Source organism: Homo sapiens, chromosome 14, assembly GCF_000001405.40.
Source record: "Homo sapiens chromosome 14, GRCh38.p14 Primary Assembly".
Classification (NCBI taxonomy): Eukaryota; Metazoa; Chordata; class Mammalia; order Primates; family Hominidae; genus Homo; species Homo sapiens.
In genome coordinates, this window is record NC_000014.9 from 77,660,520 (window position 1) to 77,684,252 (window position 23,733).

Sequence of the window (23,733 nt, forward strand, 5' to 3'; positions counted from 1 at the left end):
GTCAGGAGTTCAAGACTAGCCTGGCCAACATGGTGAAACTCCGTTTCTACTAAAAAATACAAAAAAATTAGCCAGGCGTGGTTGCAGGTGCCTGTAATCCCAGCTACTTGGGAGGCTGAGGCAGGAGAATCGCTTGAACCCAGGAGGCGGAGGTTGTGGTGAGCCGAGATCGCACCATTGCACTCCAGCCTGGGCAACAAGAGTGAAACTCCGTCTCAAAAACAAAACGAAACAAAACAAAATTCCCTGGAGTGTTCTGTGCTGTCTGGAGGTGTTTTTGGAATCTACCTAATTGGCCGAGGTGTTGTAGGAAAGGATATGGGGGAGTGTGGGTGTCTATGATGAGAGGAGGGTGCAGGGAATGGGCTTTGCATCTTGCAGAGGGATTTCTGCCAGAGGTGAGTGTGGGCACGTCACGGGGGCTGCTGACGGGGTGCTGTATGTGCCTGAGTGTGGATGTGACCAAACTTGGGGATATGTTGCTGTTAAATGAAGCGAGGCATTACCATGGCAACATAGCTCTCTGCTCCCAGCCAGATGCCAAGCCCTTAAATTATATTTTTCCGGCTGAAAGCACCTCAATTGCCTCTGGTCTCCAAAGCAATGGGACCGTGGGAGCACCAGATGCCTCACCGTTGTCTCCAACCTTTCGACAAAGCCCAAGAGGCGATAAGCAGGGGAGATGGCACAGGGGGCACGGGTGAATTTTGTTTGTTGGGGGGGGGTGCCTGGGAGTAGTGTCTGGTGAAGGGGGCTGGAGAGAGCCACCGACACACTCTACTTTTATCATCTCCTGGTCCAGTCACCTAGCACTTCATTCCAGAAGTAAAATGTGTATAATAACACCATTAGAGTTGCCAGTAATTTCTTCCACTAGATGAAGGGGTGGGTTGCCCCTCCACACCTGTGGGTGTTTCTCGTTAGGTGGAACGAAAGACTTGGAAAAGAAAGAGACACAGAGACGAAGTATAGAGAAAGAAAAAAGGGGGCCCAGGGGACCGGCGTTCAGCATAGGGAGGATCCCGCCAGCCTCTGAGTTCCCTTAGTATTTATTGATCATTCTTGGGTGTTTCTCGGAGAGGGGGAGGTGACAGGGTCATAGGATAATAGTGGAGAGAAGGTCAGCAGATAAACACGTGAACAAGGTCTCTGCATCATAGACAAGGTAAAGAATTAAGTGCTGTGCTTTAGGTATGCATACACATAAACATCTCAATGCCTTACAGAGCAGTATTGTTGCCCGCATGTCCCACCTCCAGCCCTAAGGCGGTTTTTCCTCTATCTCAGTAGATGGAACATACAATCGGGTTTTATACCGAGACATTCCATTGCCCAGGGACGAGCAGGAGACAGATGCCTTCCTCTTGTCTCAACTGCAAAGTGGCATTCCTTCCTCTTATACTAATCCTCCTCAGCACAGACCCTTTACGGGTGTCGGGCTGGGGGACGGTCAGGTCTTTCCCTTCCCACGAGGCCATATTTCAGACTATCACATGGGGAGAAACCTTGGACAATACCTGGCTTTCCTAGGCAGAGGTCCCTGCGGCCTTCCGCAGTGTTTGTGTCCCTGGGTACTTGAGATTAGGGATTGGTGATGACTCTTAAGGAGCATGCTGCCTTCAAGCATCTGTTTAACAAAGCACATCTTGCACAGCCCTTAATCCATTTAACCCTGAGTTGACACAGCACATGTTTCAGAGAGCACGGGGTTGGGGGTAAGGTCATAGATTAACAGAGTCTCAAGGCAGAAGAATTTGTCTTAGTACAGAACAAAATGGAGTCTCCTACGTCTACTTCTTTCTACACAGACACAGTAACAATCTGATCTCTCTTTCTTTTCCCCACACTAATTACTTCCTTTCCATCCATCCATTGTTCTTTGTTTGGTTTTGAAGAGTTAAGTCCTCTGTATCATCAGGGCCACAGGTAACTGATCTGGGGTAGACAACTAATCCAAAAAATGCCAAGCTGATTTTCTTTGAGCAATCGGGATTTAGGGCATCTATATGCAAGCAACCTGGAAAACTGGGGACTGAAGGTGCCATTTAGGGGCATCACTGTGCAAGTAAAATTAACAAAGAGGGTTGCAATAAGAAGGAAGCAGACAGGCAGAAAAAAACCAAGAGGGAGGGAGAGTGGGGGAGAGTGGAATATGGCAGCTGCTGTGAGTCCTGATGTTTTTACCAATTCTAGTTCCCAGTGAGGCTTGGCTGCACTTCCTACCCTTGGTTGTTTTTTGTAATTTAGTGGGTTTGTGTCTTGTAGTGGAATGATCCCTGATTAAGGCATTAGAGTATTTGGGTTAGGTTTGGCTTGTGATGCTAGCAGTGCCTTTTGGAGCCACATCCCCACTCAGGATAAACAGTGAATTCCTAGAAAAAAGACTGCTTGCATATGTGTAAATGCTTAAAAAGATGCTGTCCCCCTTCTCCAGCCAACTATTTGCAAAGGACTTCTGTGATATACAACAACACATTAACAGTATGATAAAATGTTCTTCATTCAACAATATTTAATTGAGCAGCTACTATGTACCAAGAACAATTCTAGGTGTCAGGGAAATAGCCCAGAACAAGACAGAAAAAAAAAAGAAAAAAGCCTGCTTTTCTTTGGAGGACACAAATAATAAAGAGTAAAAAAAGATATAATAGCAGATAGTGCTAAGGGCTATGAACAAAATAAATGATTTTTATCATGTGAGTCATACAGAATCATAAACTATTAAGGCTAAAAAGGTCTTCAAGATTTTCCAGATGCTCTTATTCCCACAAGACCAATGAAACAATAGAGGAGATAATAAACGGCCTTAAGCCAAATAGGAGGGTAGTGAAGCTAAGTCTAGCTCCTTCTTCGTCCGCTTTTATGTCACTTCCTACAGGAAGCCTGTCATTGCCATTTCTAGGTTAAATGCCCCTCCCACTACACCTTGTACTTGGCCCATGGGAGCATACTTTTATGGCAACCCTACTTACGTAGGTGTTTTTCCCACTCATGGAAGGACCCGAGGGCAGAAACAATGCCTGTTACATTCACCTAACACAGTGACTCACTTCACAGATGCTCAGTAGTTGCTGGATGAATAACAAGGGCTTGACACCTAACTGACAGCAGCAATACTGATGTTTATTTCACTCCCTTAGGCAATTCTTACACTACGTGACCTTCCAAAGGCAAAAAGAGTTGGTTAATAACACAGACATAGCATCACTGTCTTCAAAGACAGAGAAAAATCTTCCATAGCCAGAAACACGGTTTGTTCACGCTTTTCCTGTTGTTGAGCTTGGTGCCCTTCTGCTGAGCCCCTGTTAAAAATGAAGATATAAAGCCTGTAGGTCCAGTATCCAGTGGCTCTCAGGAAGTGCTTGATTATTGTGGATGAGAGCGGACGGAAGCAAACAGCCACTGGTGGCCACACTTGTAGGCCTACGCTCACTTTGGGGGATAGGACAATTAATACCTAACAAGAAAAGGGAATACACAGTGTACATGTGCACAAATACCTCTCAGTGTGCCAAAAACGGCAGATTCCACCACTCCTCCCTTGTGCCATTGCCACAGAGAAAACAGAAATAATACACCATGGGGCCCTGTGGATATCAATGCTATCTGCTAGCTACGTCCCTAGGAGAATACAGTAATCTTTTTCAGAGGACTATAGCCCTCACAAGTGGCTCAACCTTAAGGTTGACTGTCTATTGCCTTAGCATCCAAAGCCTCCTATTTTTATTGGGGTTCCTGAGCACAGCAATGTACATGAATTTAGGATATAGAAAAACAAGGGGCTGCTTCTCTTGCCTGAATAGGTACAATCGAACATTCTCTGGCCAGCCCATGGTGAATCCAACTCAGAGACCAGAACTAGTGTTTATGACGGCCGCCAAAATCAGCTGCTTTTCCCGTGATTTAACACACTACCAGATCTTATTTATAACAACACAAAAACTTTCAGAGAATTTGGAGAAAGATACATTTCCTCAAATTTTTATTACTGCATATGATTCTTTAAAGTTTGCTATATATAACTTAAATAATTTAAAAATATATAAGTGGCCGGGCGCCGTGGCTCATACCTGTAATCCCAGCACTTTGGGAGGCTGAGGCGGGCGGATCACTTGAGGTCGGGAGTTCGAGAGCAGCCTGGCCAAAATGGTGAAACCCTGTCTCTACTAAAAATACAAAAAAATTAGCTGGGTGTGGTGGTGGGCGCCTGTAATCCCAGCCACTCGGGAGGCTGAGGCTGGAGAATCCCTTGAAACCAGGAGGCGGAGAGTGCAGTGAGTGGAGATCGCGCCGTTGCACTGCAGCCCGGGCGACAAGAGCAAAACTCCTTCATAAATAAATAAATAAATAAATAAATAAATAAATAAATAAAATATATAAGTAACATGTGAATAATTCTTATAAAAAAATAAACACCAGGCTGGGCATGGTGGCTCATGCTTTTAATCATAGCACTTTGGGAAGCTGAGACAGGAGGATCGCTTGAGCCCAGGAGTTCGAGACCAGCCTGGGCGATGAAGTGAAACCCCGTCTCTACTAAAAACACAAAAATTAGTTGGGCATGGTGGTGTGTGCCTGTAATCCCAGCTACTCAGGAGGCTGAGGCAAGAGAATCAGTTGAACCCAGGAGGCAGAGGTTGCAGTGAGCCGAGATCATACCACTGCATTCCAGCCTGTGCAAAAGAGTGAGACCCTGTCTCATAAATAAATAAATAAATAAATAAATGTAAATTTTAAAAAATTTTTAAAAAATCTAAGGCCAAAAATCACATAGTAGAAAGTACCTTCTACAATCTTCTAATCTCTCTCCTCCCCACCCTTATCCTTGGACATATCCTTTCCCCCCATGCATTTACAAACATATGTGCATATATAGATAAGACTTGTTTAGGCCAGGCACGGTGGCTCACGCCCGTAATCCCAGCACTTTGGGAGGCCGAAGCAGGTGGATCACTTGAGGTCAGGAGATGGAGACCAATCTGGCCAACATGGTGAAACTCTGTCTCTACTAAAAATACAAAAATTAGCTGGGTATGGTGGCCGGCGCCTGTAATCCCAGCTACTTGGGAGGCTGAGGCAGGAGAATCGCTTGAACCTGGGAGACAGAGGTTGCAGTGAGCCGAGACTGCGCCATTGCACTCCAACCTGGGTGATATGCGTGAAACTCCATCTCAAAAAAAAAGAAAGACTTGTTTAGTTTTTACATATTAGTTTATATATATATATATATACATATATAATAGTTTTACATGTTTTTACACTGTATTTATTATTTTGCAACTTGTTTTTACTAACCAAAATATCCTGGAGCCCTGTTGATGTCAGTACATTCTTGTGAAGGAATACATATTCATAATATTCCATAGTGCATATTAACCATAATTTAATCTTTTTAGTACTGATTAACATTTGGGTTGTTTCCAGTTTTTCACTGTTATGAACAACACTGTGATGAATATCTTTTTACACATATTGTGTCCATCTATTTCTATAGGGAAGATACTAAGGAAGTAGAATTGCTAGGTCAAAATTTATGTGAACACTGATAATTAGCCTCCAAAGAGCTTTACCAATTTACATTCCCACGGTAGTACATGAGTGCCCATTTCCACACGTCCACACCTACAGTGAATATCCATTCATTCAACATATACTGAGTAACTACTATGTGCCAGGAACTGTACTAGACACCAGGGCACGTCTCTGCCATGCGGCACTTACAGCCTAGTGGAGGGGACAATAATTATTTATCATTATTTCCTTAAAAGGGTTATTTCCTTATTTAGTAAATTATGTAGAATGTTATATCAGAAATGCTATGAAAAAAACAGAGTATTTACCATACTGTGTAAAGAAAACTAGGAATGGCAGCAGAATTGAAACTTTCAATGAGGGTAGTCAAGGAAGATCTCACCAAAGTGATATTTGAGCAAAGACTGGAAGGCAGTGAGGGTGCAGATCTCTGGGAGAAGAGCATTCCAGGCAAAGGAAACAGTTCAGTGTGAAAGTCTCAAGGCAGGGATGTGCTTTGCATCTTCAGAAGTAAAACAAGGAGACCAGTGTGGCTGAGACAGAGTGGGTGAGAGGACCAAGAGGAAATGAGGGACCAGATGGGTTGGGGTTTGTAGCCAATTGACAGGACTTTGGCTTGTACTCAGAGTGAGGAGCAACATAAGAGTTTTGAGCACAAGAGTGACATGACCTGTCTCAGGTGTTAATAGCCTCACTCTGGCTGCTATCTTGAGGATAAAATATGGGGGAAGAGAAGGGGGCAAAGCACGGAAGGAGGAGCTATTAGGACACTATTGTAATAACCCAGTTGAGAGATGATAGTGGCTTGGGCCAGGACAGTAACAGTGAGGTAAACACAAGTGGTTAGACTCTGGATACTTGAAAGGTAGAGCCAACATTTCCTGTGGTATTAGAAGTAGGATTGAGTGGGCCGGGCACAATGGCTCACACCTGTAATCCCAGCACTTTGGGAGGCCAAGGTGGGTGGATCACTTGAGGTCAGGAGTTCAAGACCAGCCTGGCCATCATGGTGAAACTCCATCTGTACTAAAAATACAAAAATTAGCTGGGTGTGGTGGCACACGCCTGTAATCCCAGCTATTTGAGGTGGAGGCAGGAGAATCGCTTGAACCCAAAAGGCGGAGGATGCCGTGAGCAGAGATAGTGCCACTGCACTCGAGTCTGGGTGACAGAACGGGAGTCAAAAAAAAAAAAAAAAAGTAGAATAATGTGAGTGAAAGACAGTCAAGAGATAATGTAATTAATTTTGCCAAATAAATGGGTACAAATACACATCTATTGCTTTAATTTGCATTTCTATCTGCTAGTGAGGTTAGCATCTTTTTAGATGTTTATTGGCTATTTGTATTGTTTTCTTCAGAGAAGTTTCAGTTTTGCTTTGTTCTCCTTTAGTTTTACTTGGTTAACACTTCATTTCCTTACCAAAAATCTTGCTGCTCATGGGGTAACTTTTGTTTGCTGTTTATCCAACCTCTGTAAGATTAACTTCTCATTTTAGAAATATAGTATTGCAGAAGTGGTAGGCAACACAAGAATTACTTGGCAAGCTCCTTATAGATGAGATAACTGGGGCCCAAAAAGGTTCACTGAGGCTCAGCTGAAGATTTAGTCAAGGTCACACAGCTAAGTGTTGGAATTTTTACTAGAATTAGCTTTTCTGGTAACCACTCAATGTTATTTTCCATCTACTGTACCATCTTATCTTAATAAGAAGTTTGTCTTTTTTTTTTTTTTAAGACAGAGTTTCGCTCTTGTTGCCCAGGCTGGAGTGCAGTGGCCCGATCTCGGCTCACTGCAATCTCTGCCTCCCGGGTTCAAGCGATTCTCCTGCCTCAGCCTCCCGAGTAGCTGGGATTACAGGCGTGTGCCACCATGCCTGGCTAATTTTTGTATTTTCAGTGTAGACGGGGTTTCACCATCTTGGCCACACTGGTCTTGAACTCCTGACCTCGTGATCCACCTGCTTTGAACTTCCAAGGTGCTGAGATTACAGGCATGAGCCACTGTGCCTGGCCAGAAGTCTGTCTTACCAATAAAATTAGAGCCAACAAACCTATCTCCAGGAGGGCTCGAATTTGTATAGGTAGCTGATCAAAATCAGTAGAAATTTACCATTCAGCCTAAGGCATTAGATTTGCATTGCTTCTACTGTGACCTTGGAAACAGAAAACAGGTGAGGTGTCTTTCTTTCTAGGTCCTCCTGTCAATCACGTTGAGATCAAGTCACCCCAAGGGCTCCCTTCTGCCTCATTACCATTCTAATTTGCCTTATTGGATCCACCTAGGGTAGGGTCTTTTTTTTTTTTTTTTTACTCTAATAAACCAATATTTTAGATTAAGGGAAAAGAGAAATGGGGTAAGACCAGCTTATCTTAGTGACCAAAGAACTGAAAAAATGAGAACACTGGAAAGCCAAGTCTCACTGAGTCTGTCCTGTTCAGCAGGACATCTATGTCTGAGGCCTTGGCACCCTTCCAGGAAAAACCAGACATGGGGTGCAAAAAAAGAGCAACAGGCAAGAGGCTCTACCAAAATAATAAGCAGAGAGTAGTGAGTGGATCCACCTTAGCCAGACATATTTTAAAATAAGAGGAAGTGCAGAGAAAATTCCTCTTCCAGCCTGGCCAACGTGGTGAAACCCCATCTCTACTAGAAAACAAAATAATTAGCCAGGCATCATGGCACGTGCCTGTAGTCCCAGCTACTCAGGAGGCTGAGGCAGGAGAATCACTTGAACCCGGGAAGCGGAGGTTGCAGTGAGCCGAGATTGCGCCACTGCACTCCAGCCTGGAGTGCACTCCGTCTCAAAAAAAAAAAAGTTTTTTTTTTTTTTTTGGCTGGGCGCAGTGGCTCACGCCTGTAATCCCAGCACTTTGAGAGGCCGAGGTGGGTGGATCACAAGGTCAGGAGTTCAAGACCAGCCTGCCCAACATGGTGAAACCCTGTCTCTACTAAAAATACAAAAATTAGCCAGGTGTGCTGGCGGGCGCCTGTAGTCCCAGCTACTAGGGAGACTGAGGCAGAAGAATTGCTTGAACCCGGGAGGCAGAGGATGCAGTGTGCAGAGATTGTGCTATTGCACTCCAGCCTGGGCGACAAGAGCAAAACTCTGCCTCAAAAAAAAAAAAGTTTTTTTTTTGAGACGTAGCCTCGCTCTGTCACCCAAGCTGGAGTGGACTGCAGGGGCGTGATCTCTGCTCACTGCAACCTCCACCTCCCAGGTTCAAGTGATTCTCCTGCCTCAGCCTCCCGAGTAGCTGGGACTACAGGCACGTGCCATGATGACTGGCTAATTATTTTGTATTCTAGTAGAGGTGGGGTTTCACCATGTTGGCCAGGCTGGTCTTGAACTCCTGAGCTCAGGCAATCTGCCCACCTCGGCCTCCCAAAGTGCTAGGATTACAGGCATGAGCCACTGTGCCCGGTCTTAAAAAAATGTTTTAAAAAGATTTTTAATGTCAAAAATATCAGACAAGCCAGGCACGGTGGCTCATGCCTGTAATCCCAGAGCTTTGGGAGGCTCAGGCAGGTGGATCACTTGAGCTCAGGAGTTCAAGACCAGCCTGGGAAACATGGTGAAATCCTGTCATTACAAAAATATTAGAAAAGTTAGCCAGGCATGGTGGTGCCTGTAGTCCCAGGTACTTGGGAGGCTGAGGTGGGAAGGTTGTTTGAGCCCAGGAGATTGAGGCTGCAGTGAGCTATGATTGCACCACTGCACTCCAGCCTGGGCAACAGAGCCAGACCCTGTCTCAAAAAAACAAAACAAACAAAAAAATCAAATAACTCTGGTGCCCAGTAGATGGGGCAGGGGGAGAGGGGGGTGCGCAGAAAGAGAAAAAAAAATTAAAAATCAGAAATACAGAAAAGCACAAATAAGTATCAACTGTAATTCCACCATCATTCATGTTTTGGTATTCACATCATTCCAGTTTAAAAAAATATGTAAACATTTCATCTCTGAGAGGTCTGAACAAAAAAACATAAAATAAAAATGTCAACATTCTATACAAAATTAGGTTACTATGGACAGTTTCATAATTGGATTTCTCACCTAAATATAGTATAAACATTTCCCCTTATCTCTAACTATTCTTGTAAAACATGGCCTTTAAAGGCTACATAGGGTTATGGCATATCCAGTATACAAGCTCCACAAAGGAAAGTACTTGTGCAGCCAAAGAACAGTGCTCAGTAGTCACGTGCTGAAAAGTACATGAATTTAACTCCCTGTTGCTGGATTTTGAGTATATTTCATATTTTCTCTACTATGAATATTCTCACACAAAAATCTTTCTGCACAGCTCTGATTACTTTCCACAGACTCAATTCCTAGAAGTGAAATTTACTGGGACAAAGGGTATACATTTGAAAACATTATTAGGATGACCACATAAATTATCATTGAATGAAAGACCACTTCTCGGTGGAAAAGGAGATCCAGGACTACCCTGGTCAAAGTAGGATAAAAAGTCACACATTACATGATGCCAAATTGTGCCTTAGGGGCTATAGCAATTTACATCCCTACTAACAGATTATTAGAAAACCAATTTCTCAGGGCCTAACGTCTGTGACTTTACTTTTTGTTTTTTTTTTTTTTTTGAGACGGAGTTTTGCTCTTGTTGCCCAGGCTGGAATGCAATGGCACGACTTGGCTCACTGCAACCTCCGCCTCTCAGGTTCAAATGATTCCCCTGCCTCAGCCTCCCAAGTAGCAGGGACTACAGGCGCCCGCCACCACGCCCAGCTAAATATTATGTATTTTTTTTTTTTTGAGATGAAGTCTTGCTGTTGTCACCCAGGCTGGAGTGCAATGGCACGATCTCAGTTCACTGCAACCTCTGCCTCCCAGGTTCAAGCGATTCTATTGCGCCAGCCTCCTGAGTAACTGGGATTGCAGGCGCCTGCCACCATGCCTGGCTAATTTTTGTATTTTTAGTAGAGATGGGGTTTTACCATGTTGGCCAGGCTGGTCTCAAACTCCTGACCTCAAGTGATCCACCCACTTCGGCCTCCCAAAGTGCTGGGATTACAGGTGTGAGCCACCCCACGCCCGGCCAATTTTGTATTTTTAGTAGAGACTGGGTTTCACCATGTTGGTCAGGCCGGACTCGAACTCCTGACCTCAGGTGATCCACCTGCCTTGGCCTCCTAAAGTGCTGGGATTACAGGCATGAGCCACAGCGCCCAGCCCTGTTTTTAGAGGCAGGTTTTTGCTGTTGCCCAGGCTGGAGTGCAGTAGCACAATCGTAACTCACTGTAACCTTGAACTTCTGGGCTCAAGTGATCCTCCCGTTTTAGCCTGCCAAAGTGCTGGGATTACAAACATGAGCCACTGTGCCTGGCCTACTCTTTTTTTTTTTTTTTTTTTTTGAGACGGAGTCTCGCTCTGTCGCCCAGGCTGGAGTGCAGTGGCGCGATCTCGGCTCACTGCAAGCTCTGCCTCCGGGTTCACGCCATTCTCCTGCCTCAGCCTCCTGAGTAGCTGGGACTACAGGCACCTGCCACCACGCCCGACTGAGTTACATTATATACATCTTCAATTATATGTGCTTCATAAAAATATATAAATAAAAGTAGAGAGCGAGCCAGAGAAAGTGGGGAGGGCTAGAGGGAGGAGATGGGGTCGGGGAGAGAGAGAGCGTGAATATTTAATTGTACGAATGATCTGTTCACCATCCCAGGAGACAGGAATGTGCTATTCTCTTGGCTGGCCTGTTTCTACCTGCTTCTCATAGCATAAACATCTCACTTCATGGAGTGAGTCTACAATTTAGTTATGTGTTTTTTGTACAACATGGTTCCCATACACAAACCAATGCCTTTATCTGACACACAAGTGAAGAAAGAATAATCTGTCTTAATGCTAGACTGTCTCTGTTGGATTTACTAAATGACAGTACGTTGGTTTCTGTAGGTCACATTTAACATACATTGTAGAAAATTTAAGGTTAACAGTGGTAATCTTATCCAGTGGTATTATTTAATTATATAAAGATTTCCTATGTATTAATTTTAGGACCTAAGCTGGGTGCAGTGGCTCATGCCTGTAATCCCAGCACTTTGGGAGGCCAAGGCGGGCCGATCACCTGAGATCAGGAGTTCAAGACCAGCCTGACCAACATGGAGAAACCCCATCTCTACTAAAAATACAAAATTAGCCAGGCATGGTGGCGCATGCCTGTAATGCCAGCTACTCAGGAGGCTGAGGCAGGAGAATCGCTTGAACCCGGGAGGTGGAGGTTGCAGTGAGCTGAGCTTGTGCCATTGCACTCCAGCCTGGGCAACAAGTGTGAAACTCTGACTCAAAAAAAACAAAAAACAAAAAACAAAGAACCTAGCTTACACATAAGAGATAAATCCATAATTTTTATTCATTTAAAAACCCTGCTATTACCATATGAACTCAATATTCAATGCCAGTAATTTAAAAAAGGGGCAGAGCAGGACAGAGGAGACATGTAAACTTAATAACATGCATTGCAAACAGTAGGTACCAAATGGGCTTCCAGCCAGTCCTCCACACAAGGAAGTTAGGATGTTTCAAAGAGCCCTTATAATAAAACAATTTTGGCACATCATGTTTGTAGAAAGGAGCACTTAATTCTCTTTCAAATACCAATATCCCTTTAGGAAGATGGTAGTCTACAGTATCTTCATTTTATGATGAGGAAACCGAGGTCCAGAGAAATGTAAAGTAACCTGGACCATGATATAGTCAGTCAAATTGTTGGGGGTATAAAGATTAAAACTTGGTGTTGCCTACATTTTTCCAAGCTGCCTACCCTCAGACAATAACAGCAGTGACTGGAATATTAAGAAATGTTCTCTCTTCTGTGAGACAGCCACAAAGAATACTTAGGGCACAGCAGAATGGTGTAGGGCAGAAACAGCTAGAGGGCTTCAATAGCATGAACAATACAGCAAAGAAAAACAGAAAAAAAAACCTTAATCCCAGATAGACTAAACCCCAAAGACAGATATAGATCTTTAATTTAAAATCAAGTGAGTTTATTCATGGAGAAAACAGTAACAAAACACCCTTGGGACTTTTTTATTCCAACAATTAAAATTGCATTAAAAAGCCAACAGGGAGTTTGGAGACCGAAATGACATGTAGAGAAACTAAATTCCCCTTTCCTTGGGTTTACCTATATTTATCTTTTAGGCAAGAGAGATAGTTGTGATTAATTTCTTTTCTAAAAGACAAGATTTTCCAGTTCCATTGTTTTCATGTGTAAAGGATTCTTCCATGAGAGCCAGAGAGGTGGAAGAGAAGATCAAAGAATTTGATGATGCCTGAGGGAGTTAAGAAGATGAGACTAATAGCTGGTTCACAGAACCACAATTTTACCATAAATTACCAGATGGAGTGGAGGGAGGGGTACTGTATTTCTCATTAATAAAATCTGAGGTATTTAAATACTCTGCAAACATGGAAACTCACTTCTACCTTCCTCAAAGGAAATAGCAGAGGCTGAGAAGGCTGTTGTGGAAGAACATACCTCCTTGGACTGACTTCTCAACATACATTACAGCCAACATGTAACTAGGAACAGACCATGTCAAACACTTCTCTGAGCAAAGTGGCTGAGTTTACTTCTGCGTGGGTTCCAAGGCAACAGTGTGATCAACAATGAGTTCTTCCCTGTCTCTGTTTTTGGCTTGTCTGGGTGCTGAAGTCCACGGCAATACACAATAACATGATCATTTACGGTAAGCAGGTGCCTGAGTAAAAAGGATGGGATCTCCAAGTCTCAGCTGTCAGGGTTTATCCTGGCCCGTTTTACTTCGCTATTCTGGTCATCCAGATGGCAGAAACCTTCTGTACTGATGTCTCTTTTTTCATCCTCGATGGGTTCTAGAGGGAAATTCTGGTCTGTGGCCAGGACCTGTCGGACAGTCATGTTAACACGAGCGGTCTTCAAGTAGCTGGCACACACCTGCCAGTCCTCCATAGAACAAGGCTCTACCATTGAATCTCTCGGGAGGACAGCAGGGAGAGGTGCCTCTAGGCAGTGAGGCAGGCCTTCCCCTTCTGGATTTGGAAGGACACGAGGGACTGCGTGGTTCAAGAGGCGGCTGAAACCCGACATTATCATGATGTCACCACTGTGCATAAACATGGCCGTGGGGGCCTCATCCCTTTGAAGACCACCCAGGAGAAAGATGGCGGACTGTCCAAAGCTACAAAAAATAAGTAAAAACACACAACAATAAAAAAGTATAAATTTTGTTTATTAACTATGACTGGGAAAGTTACTGCCAACTGTGTTATTTTGTAATTTCAGGTTGATATTTATTGCTCCCAAATCCTCCTTTTTAAACTGTGCTAAGATCCTTCTCTTCTGGTTTGTGTCTATGAGTGACCAACTCATGACCTTCTACCTATAGTTATGACAGCCCACAGAACTGCTGCAAAATAAAATTGGATGCAGTTAAATAAGCAAATGGAGAACTTAGCTTTAATGTTATCCATTTAAGTTTTATTGATGGTTTTTTTTTTAAAGACAGAGCCTTATTTCGTCACCCAGGCTGGAGTGGCTGGAGTGCAGCGGCGCGATCTCGGCTCACTGCAACCTCAGCCTCCTGGGTTCAAGTGATTCTTGTGCCTCAGCCTCCAGAGTAGCAGGGATTACAGGCGTGTGCCACCACACCCGACTAATTTTTGTATCTTAGTAGAGATGGGGTTTTACCGTGTTGGCCAGGCTGGTCTCAAACTCCTGAACTCAAGTGATCCACTGGCCTCGGCCTCCCAAAGTACTGGGATTATAGGTGTAAGCCATCATGCCCAGCCTATTGATGTGTCTTTGAGTCTTTCAATAAAATCATTTGAGTTCTTTACTATGTTTACCTTTCCTCATTTTAAAGATAAGGCAATTAATAAAAGGCACTTTCCCGAGATGCAGGTGCAAAACTTGGCACAAATTTAAACTTACTTTTAGGGAGACAAGGAGAGTAAACTACTCAGGCTTTTGTGCTTTGCTCTATAGTTTGCTCTTCTATACCAAAGGTCACTCGCTTTGCTTTTATGGCTTTCCACTTGTCTATTCCACAGAGCACTGACAATACCTTTCATTATAAAAGGTAGGTTACGGCCAGGTGCAGTGGCTCATGCCTGTAATCTCAGCACTTCGGGAGGCCGAAGTGGGCGGATTGCCTGAGCTCAGGAGTTCATGACCAGCCTGGGCAACACGATGAAACCCCATCTCTACTAAAAAAAAAAAAAATTAGCTGGGTGTGGCGGTGTGCACCTGTAGTTCCAGCTACTCAGGAGGCTAAGGCAGGAGAATCACTTGAAACTGGGAGGCGGAGGTTGAAGTGAGCTGAGATCAAGCCACTGTATTCCAGCCTGGGTGACAGAGCGAGACTCTGTTTCAAAAAAAAACAATAATAAAAAATAAAAATAAAATAAAAGGTAGGCTCCATGTGTCTTAAACAGAGATACTAACTATAATTTATTAAAATTCCCAGAAGTGGAAGATTATAGAGTCCAACCACTTTTTTAAAGTTAAATACCTGTATTTATTTTAGAGTAAAATGTCTTAGAAAAAAGAATTAAATGATAAAAAGTAATCCCAAATCCCTGGAACTAACTCACCTGAATGACAGCAAGGGTTTGGAGTGATCTAGCTCAGATCTGTCTACGTGGATTCCCAGTGTGGAGTCCAGGCGGTAGTAATTCAGGATCCCTGCTTCAGCTCGGAAATCCTCAAATCCACAGGCAGCGGCTACTTGCTCTGAGAGGAAACCCAGGTCAGAAGGGAAAGGTGTGTAATGATCTGCTGAGTATTTCTTTGGTAAATGTAGAGAGAATAAGAAAAATAAACAATGATCTCAGGAATACAGGAAACTATAAGATTAATTACCACTTTAAAATAATCTTACTTACAAAGTCATATTAACATATTAACACAGCATTATCTATCCATTCTTTTCTTTTCTTTTTTTTTTTTTTTAAAGACAGGGCCTCAATCTGTTGCCCAGGCTAAAGTCCAGTGGTGTGATCATGGCTCACTGTAGCCTAGACCTCCTGGGCTCAGTGATCCTCCTACCTTAGTCTCCCAAGTAGGTAGGACCACAGGTGCGTGCCACCATGCCTGGCTAATTTTTTTTTTTTTTGGCAGAGATGGGGTCTCACTATGTTGCCTAGACTGGTCTCAAATGATCCTCCTGCCTCAGTCTCCCAAAGCGTTGTGATTACAGACATGAGCCACTGTGCCCGGTCTATCCATCCATTCTTGGGGTATCTAATGATCTAATAATGAATCATTCAAAAACCCAAGTACCTGTTATATAACAGGCACTGTGCTATATACTGCATTGAGTCTATACATGAAGCAATTACTCCACCACCCTCTAGTTAGTATACTCTATCTGTAAATGAGACAGTTCTATTAGGGTAAAAATGCAACTCAAAACCGTCATTGCCAACAGGTGCCCAAGGAAACACAAGGACTAAATATAATGTAGTATCCTGGATAAGATCCTGGATATTAGAAAATTAGATATAAGAACAAAGATATTAGTTAAAAACTAAGGAAATCTAAATGAAGTACAAATGCTATTACAGTAATGTATTACTATTGGTTAACTATTTGAGACAAAGGTACCATACTAAGGTAAAATGTTAATAATAGGGGGAGAGCACGAGCTCTCTCTGTACTATCTTCTCAACTTTTCTGCAAATCTAAAACTATCCTAAACTAAAAAGTTAATTTATAAAAAGGCAACTCAAATACTATAGCCAGTTTGGTTTTGGACCTCTCAGCTTGCAACATGGCTTAGTGGCAATTTGACTGGTCAATCTGATGGGATGACATGCTCAAAACATCGGAACTAACTCTCATTTATAGCATGGCCAAGATAGGCCTTTAAATTGGAAGTAATTTCCTGAACTTACTTCCCTGGGCTGTCTCTGTTTTTTACACCTAAGGATCACAAATATCTTTTTCCAGTTAAAAAAAAATATATCAAAGGCCATAATACTCTTTTTTTTTTTTGAGACTGAGTCTCGTTCTGTCACCCAGGCTGGAGTGCAGTGGTACGATCTCTGCTCACTGCAACCTCTGCCTCCCAGATTCAAGTGATTCTCTTGCCTCAGCCTCCTGAGCAGCTAGGATTACAGGTGCCTGCCACCATGCCTGGCTAATTTTTGTATTTTTAGTAGGAACAGGGTTTCACCATGTTGGCCAGGGTGGTCTTGAACTTCTGACCTCAAGTGAACTGCCTGCCTCGGCCTCCCAAAGTGCTGGGAGTACAGGTGTGAGCCACCATGCCTGGCCTGGCCATAATACTCTCTATAACATCTTTCTGCATGAGTGACATGGCTGCAGTTATGATTAAGACTTTCACTTACAGGTTCCTATATGGATGAATCTGAGGGCTATTTGGGCTATATGTACCTGACAGACTCTTCTTTTGTCTTGATGCTCCTCTGCTCTCACTTCTTTCTTTGCTAAATTAACCTCAAATCTGATCAGAAAATCTACTTTTGTCTCATATCTCTACTAGCGTCTGAATATATTCTAGCTGAAGCAGCAGTCATAGGTCTGGACAGCAAGTATTTACTTTGGCCAGAAGCGACCTTTAACTTCAGGTGTAAGGAAGACTCTTGATGAATGGCCTGGTCTCTTCAGTTGGAACTTTTCTGTTTTTCATTTTTTCTCCTTTTACTGAACTGTAAATTAGAAGAGTTCCTATTCAATTTCTCAAAACTCAAAGTGTGATTAAAGAACTTTAAGTTTTCCTCTATCATTTTAAGCTTTAGTCCCTCAGATAATCAAACAGTCAAGGCTGTCATTCTAGCTGTAGATAGCCTCTGCTATAATGAAATAATCACCCTTTTGGGCTTTCAACCCTGTCCAAACTGTCTCTGCATTACTCACTACTTTTTCTTTTAAAGTTCTCTTTCACTTTTCTCTGACTACTCATTCAGTTTTTGGTCATTTTTACTCCCTATTTTTCTTAGTCAATGAGGTTAACTTTGAGGTCTTGGGGAATAACAATATCAACAGTAAAAATATTATCACCAAAAAAAAAAAAAAAAAAAAAAGCTAACATTTATTGTGATAATGCATTTAACTGCTTAGAATAGCCAGACACCATTGAGATCACTTTACAGGCACTGATCACTTAATTTTCACAACTGCCTTATGAGGTAGGCACTATCATTACCGGAGGAAGGATTCAAACTCAGGCTGTCTAATCCAAAGAAAATCACATGGCATTTCCCCTCAAAAAATATCTAGTTTCCTACTGAGTCTGTATTGCTGAAAGTCAGAATTATATCACAAATATTTTTAAAACAAATCTGTCATCATTTGGAGCAGTTAATGTATCTAAGTTGGGTTGGCTGAAACTGTGGAGCTTTTAGAAAGTAACTAGTTACTGTGAGGCTGAGGTGTGAGGATCACCTGAGTCTGGGGAGGTCGAGGCTATAGTGATTGTGCCACTGCACTCCAGCCTAGGTGACAGTGTAAGACCATTACAAAAAAAAAAAAAAAACAGACAAAGTAACTGGTTAGTAGGCAAAGAAAATGGTCTATACCAATATTTTTTTTTCATTTTATTCTTATAATCAGTATACTCCCTTGGTGGCAAATGTCTAATTGAGACAAGAGGCACTGCACTGCTAGTTACAAGGCATCTTCTAAAGCATAGAGGATAGGAAAGAAGAAATCGTAGCTCAAGAAAACACGAAACTGTCAACTGTAGGAAATTCTTTCCCACCTCCCTCCTTCCTAGTCATTATAGAGCAGGCAAATATCTTTTTTTTTTGAGACAAGATCTTGTTCTATCACCCAGTTGGACTGCAGTGGTGCGATCTTGGCTCACTGCAACCTCTGCCTCCCAGGCTCAAGCGATCCTCCCTCCCCAGCCTCCTGAGTAGCTGGAACCACAGGCATGCACCACCACATCTGGCTAATTTTTCTATTTTTTGTAGAGATGGGGTTTCACTATGTTGCCCCAGGCTGCTCTGGAACTCCTGAGCTCAAGCGATCTTCCCACCTCAGCCACCCAAAGTGCTTGGATTACAGGAGTGAGCCACCGCGTGTGATCGGTATCCATATGTTGAAAGTTCTTTTGTGAGTTGACGAATGAACAATTGAAATACATGGAGCTTCTTTTACTCCAGGCAGATATTACATAGAAAAATAAGTGCTCTTGAATGTGGCTTTTGTTGCACAATAAAAATTAAAAAAAAGAAAAAGAAAAAGAAAAATATATGCTCAACAAACTCTCACTAATAATGGAAATAAAGATGGTGAGAACTGCTCTTGAAAAGAGTTCTATATTCCTGGAACCTACTGTGAGAAAGCACTGGTGACTTCTGATATAATAAAATTCATTCCTCTTGAGATACCTGAGGAGAGATTTTTTTTTTCTTTTCTGAGACAGAGTCTTGCTCTGTCACCCAGGCTGGAGTGCAGTGGTGCGATCTTGGCTCACTGCAACCTCCACCTCCTGGGTCCAAGTAATCCTCTCACCTCAGCCTCTTGAGTAGCTGGGACTGCAGGCATGTGCCACCAGGCCCGGCAAACTTTTGTATTTTTTGTAAAGACAGGGTTGTGCCACGTTGCCCAGGCTGGCAGCAAACTCCTGACCTTAAGTGATCCGCCCACCTCAGCCTCCCAAAGTGCTGGGATTACAGATGTGAGCCACGGCACCTGGCCCAGTTGAGATTTTTTAAGGAAATAAAAGAAAGGGATCCTCCCACAAATGTATAATCTTGATATCTTAAGCGTGGTTAGGAAGAAATACAACTATGTGGGCTAAAGAAGCCTATAAACAGAAAACAAAAGAATTAAGAAAACCTGAATACCTTACTGTCCCAGTTATAATGGTAGCCTACGGTCACCCAACGCAGTTTCTCCAGTAAACTTCGGGGTCTCCGTTTAGTCGCTTCTTTATACCTGCAAAGATTGGTGACAAAAGAGGAATTATTCATGTAAAATGGCAGCAATAGCCGTTTGTATGGACTCTGGAGTTAAAATTTAGTATTACATGGTATAAGCCGTTAGCCAAGACTCAGTAGGAGAAATTAGAAGAGATAAATGAGTAGACCACAGATACATTAACAGAGAAAAACATGTTAGCACTTCTAATTTATAATCCTTTGTTCTAAATCCTCTGCTGAATGGGGTCAACTTTAAATCACAAGCCTCCAGCATCTTGGTAATGATAAAATAAGAATGACAACAATGACAAGAGAAATGTCTTTACCTGTCCATGGGAAATGGTACCAAGAGCACTATGGGCAATCAAAAATTTGACTTACAGAACATTTTCAGTTTGGTTTGCTAAAAGCAGGGTACAGTTAATCACAATGATTTCTATGTCTATAATGAGGGTGGCTTCCCAGAATTGCAGGTTGGGGAAAAAAAAAGTTTAGCAAAATATAGTGTATAGTACAATAAAAAATAACTGGTTTAACATGACTTCTTTAACTCTGTATAACATAGCTTAGATAACTGAGGCTTAGCTAACAATTAAGGCACCACTGTAACTGATTTGGTTTCTGACATACCCTTGTTCAAACCACAGGAGGTTTCTGTACAACCGAGACGTGCTCTTTCTGCAATTACATCTCATCTGATCAAATCTATGTGATTAACTACTCTTTTTTTTTTTTTTTTTTTGAGACAGAGTTTCGCTCTTGTTGCCCAGGCTGGAGTGCAATGGCGCGATCTTGGCTCACCACAGCCTCCGCCTCCCAGGTTCAAGCAATTCTCCTGCCTCAGCCTCCCAAGTAGCTGGGATTACAGGCATGCACCACTACGCCCAGCTAATTTTGTATTTTTAGTAGAGACGGAGTTTCTCCATATTGAGGCTGGTCTCGAACTCCTGACCTCAGGTGATCCGCCTGCCTCGGCCTCCCAAAATGCTGGGATTACAGGCGTGAGCCACCACAACTGGCCCACTACTCTTTTTCTAAAAAGGAAGCTTGTTTGTTTGGCTCACCTCCAAATATCTAAAAATATGAGAATGGTAGGTCTAATGATTTAATTTTTCTCTGTTATTTACATCATTGATCAATCAAAAATTTTTTTGTCCAAAACTATGGCTGTGTAAAAAAGAAAAAATCAGATTCCTTTAAGGAATCTGATTGTGACAGGAAATGGCAAATGTAATAGAAAGTCTAAGGAGAAATTAGAGGGAAACTGAACGCAGTATAAAGTCTAGTACTAAAGTAAACAGCAGACTTTGAGGGGCACGAGAATTAAGAAAAAGGAGAGCTCAAAGTCAGCTGTCGAATCAGTTGGGGCTTCTTGGCAGAGTTGGGAGTTGAGCACGGCACTGAAGAATGGGCAGCATTTAAATAGGGAGTGATGCAGTAGGCAATATGGGCACACAGCACAAGCAAAAGCAAAGGATTTATTGAGACCCACACTGTTCAGTGGCACTCATCTTGATGTTTGACGAAGAGTTTACAGAATAGATGCTATCTGTCCTCACAGAGTTTACATTCTAAGAAAGACATCATGACACATACATACATCAAGACCAGCAGATAAAAAGAAATGAACACACACTGATTTATTTAGGACAGGTGTGCAGAAGAGACATAGCAGACTTGACTGATGGTCTGCTTACAAAGATGGTCCTTGGCAAGGTTCACACAATTCTCTGGAAGTGTTAAGAGTGGCTTACTGCACCTAAACTGTGCAAACAATATGGTTTATGGTCAACACCTGCTTTGCTTCTGGGAGTCTGTGATTTTGGCATGTGTCAGGCAGAGGCTGCCTACATGACAAGCTCCTAGTAAAAACCTAGGCACTGAGTTTCTTTGGTAAACATTTCACAGATTTTGTCACAACCCATTGCCATATCCGGTGTGACTTCCTTGGGAGAGGACTTTTGGAGGCATGCACCTGGTTTTTCCTGGACTTTGCTCCAGGTGCCTTTTCCCTTTGCTGATCTTGCTTTGTATGCTTTCACTGTGATAAATCTGTAAGTGCAACCATCTGCTGAGTCCTGAGTCTTCCTGGCGAATCATCAAATTTGGGTGTGGTTTTGGGGACTCCCTGACACAACAGGAGACAGATAACTAATAATTTAGGGAAAAATATAAGGCTTGGCCACTGACAGCAACTAGCTGATTTGAACAATTACAATATGGATAACAACCACACATTATTTTTGTGCATAAAAACTGAAATATGAAAAAAATGTAATGTAGTTATTAACACAACTTGAGGTCTACCAATGTTTATTCAGCTAAAGGTACAAATAAAAGAACTCCTTGATGTTCTCCTCTAGAGAACATGTTCTATTTTAGTAGCCTGAGACAGAAAAATAAGTATGACTCATGTGGACTTTGTGGTTAATGGAAATATAAACGTAGTTCCAGAGTTACATAAGCACCTTATAGAGGTGATCCATTCTATTTCTCTTTCCAAGGTATTACTTTGTAGCCAATTCCTTATTTTAAGGTAATCTCTAGGATACAAGAAAATGCTGTTGAAGAAAAGGATGATGATGATGATCTTATGAATATTGAAGCTATGCGTTTTTGAGGAGGGGGAAAAGAGAGATGGTAGAAGTGGTAGTAAAAGATGAAAGAAGTTGGTCATCTAAGACTGGAATCTAGAACTCAAAATAGATGGCACCCTGAGTATCTAAATGGCAAAGAGTCTTCTCAAAAATTTTATTTTTTGGAGACTGTGTCTCATTTTGTCACCCAGGCTGGAGGGCAATGGCACGATCTTGGCTCACTGCAACCTCCGCCTCCCAGGTTGAAGTGATTCTCCTGCCTCAGCCACCCAAGTAGCTGTGATTACAGAATGCACCACCACGCCTGGCTAATTTTTGTATTTTTTGTAGAGATGGGGTTTCACCATGTTGGCTAGACTCATCTTGAACTCCTGACCTCAGGTGGTCCACCCGCCTCGGCCTCCCAAAGTGCTGGGATTACAGGCGTGAACCACTGCACCTGGCCTATTTTTATTGTTTAATTAAAACAAAAAAGAAAAATATAGAGATGTAGTCTCACCATGTTGTCCAGGATGATCTTGAACTCCTTACCTCAAGCAATCCTTCCGCCCTGACCTCCCAGAGTGCTAAGTGAGGCATCACACCAAGCTGTAAAGTCTTTTTTTTTTTTTTTTTTTTTTACAAACAGTCCAGGGGTATTTTAACACCTATTATGCTATGAATCCATAGAGAATAGGTTCCAGCAGCTCAGGCTCCTTCCCATTTGTTCTCACAAAGTGTGCTTCTCTGGGTGGGGCAGGCTGGCACTTCAGTTGAACTCAGGTACCTTTCTCTTTGGGTTCTTTTTCTGATCATTTTACTACACGTTTCAGGAAGCTATCTCGGCTCTTAGAGTGCTTAATGTGCTCAATGCGCACATTAATTCTCTTGGCAAGAGTCTTGCCCTTAACTTACTTGTTCACAACAATGCTAACAGCATGCTGGGGAACACTGTAGACTCTTCCAGTTTTGCCATGGCAACATTTATGGGCCATTCCTTTTTGAACAGTACCCATTCCCATTCCCTTAATGTCGACAACATCATCCTCCTTTTTTTTTGAGATGCAGTCTTGCTCTGTCACCTAGGCTGGAGTGCAGTGGTGCAATCTCGGCTCACCGCAGCCTCCACCTCCCAAGTTCCAGCGATTCTCCTGCCTCAGCCTCCCAAGTAGCTAGAATTACAGGCATGCACCACCACGCCTGGCTAATTTTTGTATTTTTAGTAGAGACAGGGTTTCCCCATGTTGCCCAAGCTGGTCTTGAACTGCTGACCTCAGGTGATCCAAACGCCTCAGCCTCCCAAAGTGCTGGGATTACAGGCATGTGCCACTGCGTCCAGCTGACAATATCATCCCTCTTACAGATGCGCATATACATGGCCAAAGGAAAAACTCCGTTTTCTAAAAGGCCTAGAAAACATCTATCAGGTACTTCTCCTCTTTCCCTTTGTCTTCGTCATTTTCGCAAATTACTGGAAGATGGCAGTTCCAGCTGAAAAGCGCAGTCTTAAGAGCTCTACTGAAAGCCTTTACAGAACCTGTCTTAATTACAGAACCCACTTAATTTTTGCCGAGTGTTTCTCAAACTTTAGTGTACATCAGAATCATCTAGAAGGCTTGTTGAAACTCACATGGCTGGGTCCAGGCCTATAAATTCTTATTCAGCAGGTCTAGGGTGGGGGCCTAAGAACTGCATTTCTAGTAAGTTCCCAAATGATACTTA

The 23,733-nt window shown here is 42.7% G+C and overlaps 1 protein-coding gene and 1 pseudogene across 2 annotated transcripts in view, besides 3 other annotated features; both read right to left on the reverse strand.

Annotated features, from left to right (window-relative positions):
* Positions 1,969-2,800: an enhancer, noted in NCBI's record as "H3K27ac-H3K4me1 hESC enhancer chr14:78128831-78129662 (GRCh37/hg19 assembly coordinates)". NCBI's record gives its function as "activates a minimal SCP1, AML or CMV promoter by ChIP-STARR-seq in naive H9 embryonic stem cells {active_cell/tissue: H9 hESC(naive)}" and the evidence as "EXISTENCE:reporter gene assay evidence [ECO:0000049][PMID:30033119]".
* Positions 7,894-8,094: a silencer, noted in NCBI's record as "peak2209 fragment used in MPRA reporter construct". NCBI's record gives its function as "represses an SCP1 promoter by STARR-seq MPRAs in K562 erythroleukemia cells {active_cell/tissue: K562}" and the evidence as "EXISTENCE:reporter gene assay evidence [ECO:0000049][PMID:32103011]".
* The window catches only part of ALKBH1 (alkB homolog 1, histone H2A dioxygenase), a 35,620-nt gene continuing 23,771 nt past the window's right edge, over positions 11,885-23,733 (reverse strand). Inside the window, exons 4-6 of one of the 2 annotated variants that reach the window (NM_006020.3) lie at positions 19,361-19,451; positions 15,137-15,330; positions 11,885-13,722 (exon numbers count right to left, since the gene is read on the reverse strand). In NM_006020.3, the coding sequence (NP_006011.2) occupies positions 13,293-13,722; positions 15,137-15,330; positions 19,361-19,451 (715 nt within the window). In that variant the 3' untranslated portion in view covers positions 11,885-13,292. Of the gene's footprint in view, positions 13,723-15,136; positions 15,331-19,360; positions 19,452-23,733 lie in introns of those variants that run through there. The other variant, XM_047431848.1, reaches the window with a different exon arrangement.
* Positions 21,744-21,944: a silencer, noted in NCBI's record as "peak2210 fragment used in MPRA reporter construct". NCBI's record gives its function as "represses an SCP1 promoter by STARR-seq MPRAs in K562 erythroleukemia cells {active_cell/tissue: K562}" and the evidence as "EXISTENCE:reporter gene assay evidence [ECO:0000049][PMID:32103011]".
* RPL21P10 (ribosomal protein L21 pseudogene 10) lies at positions 22,671-23,508 on the reverse strand (annotated as a pseudogene).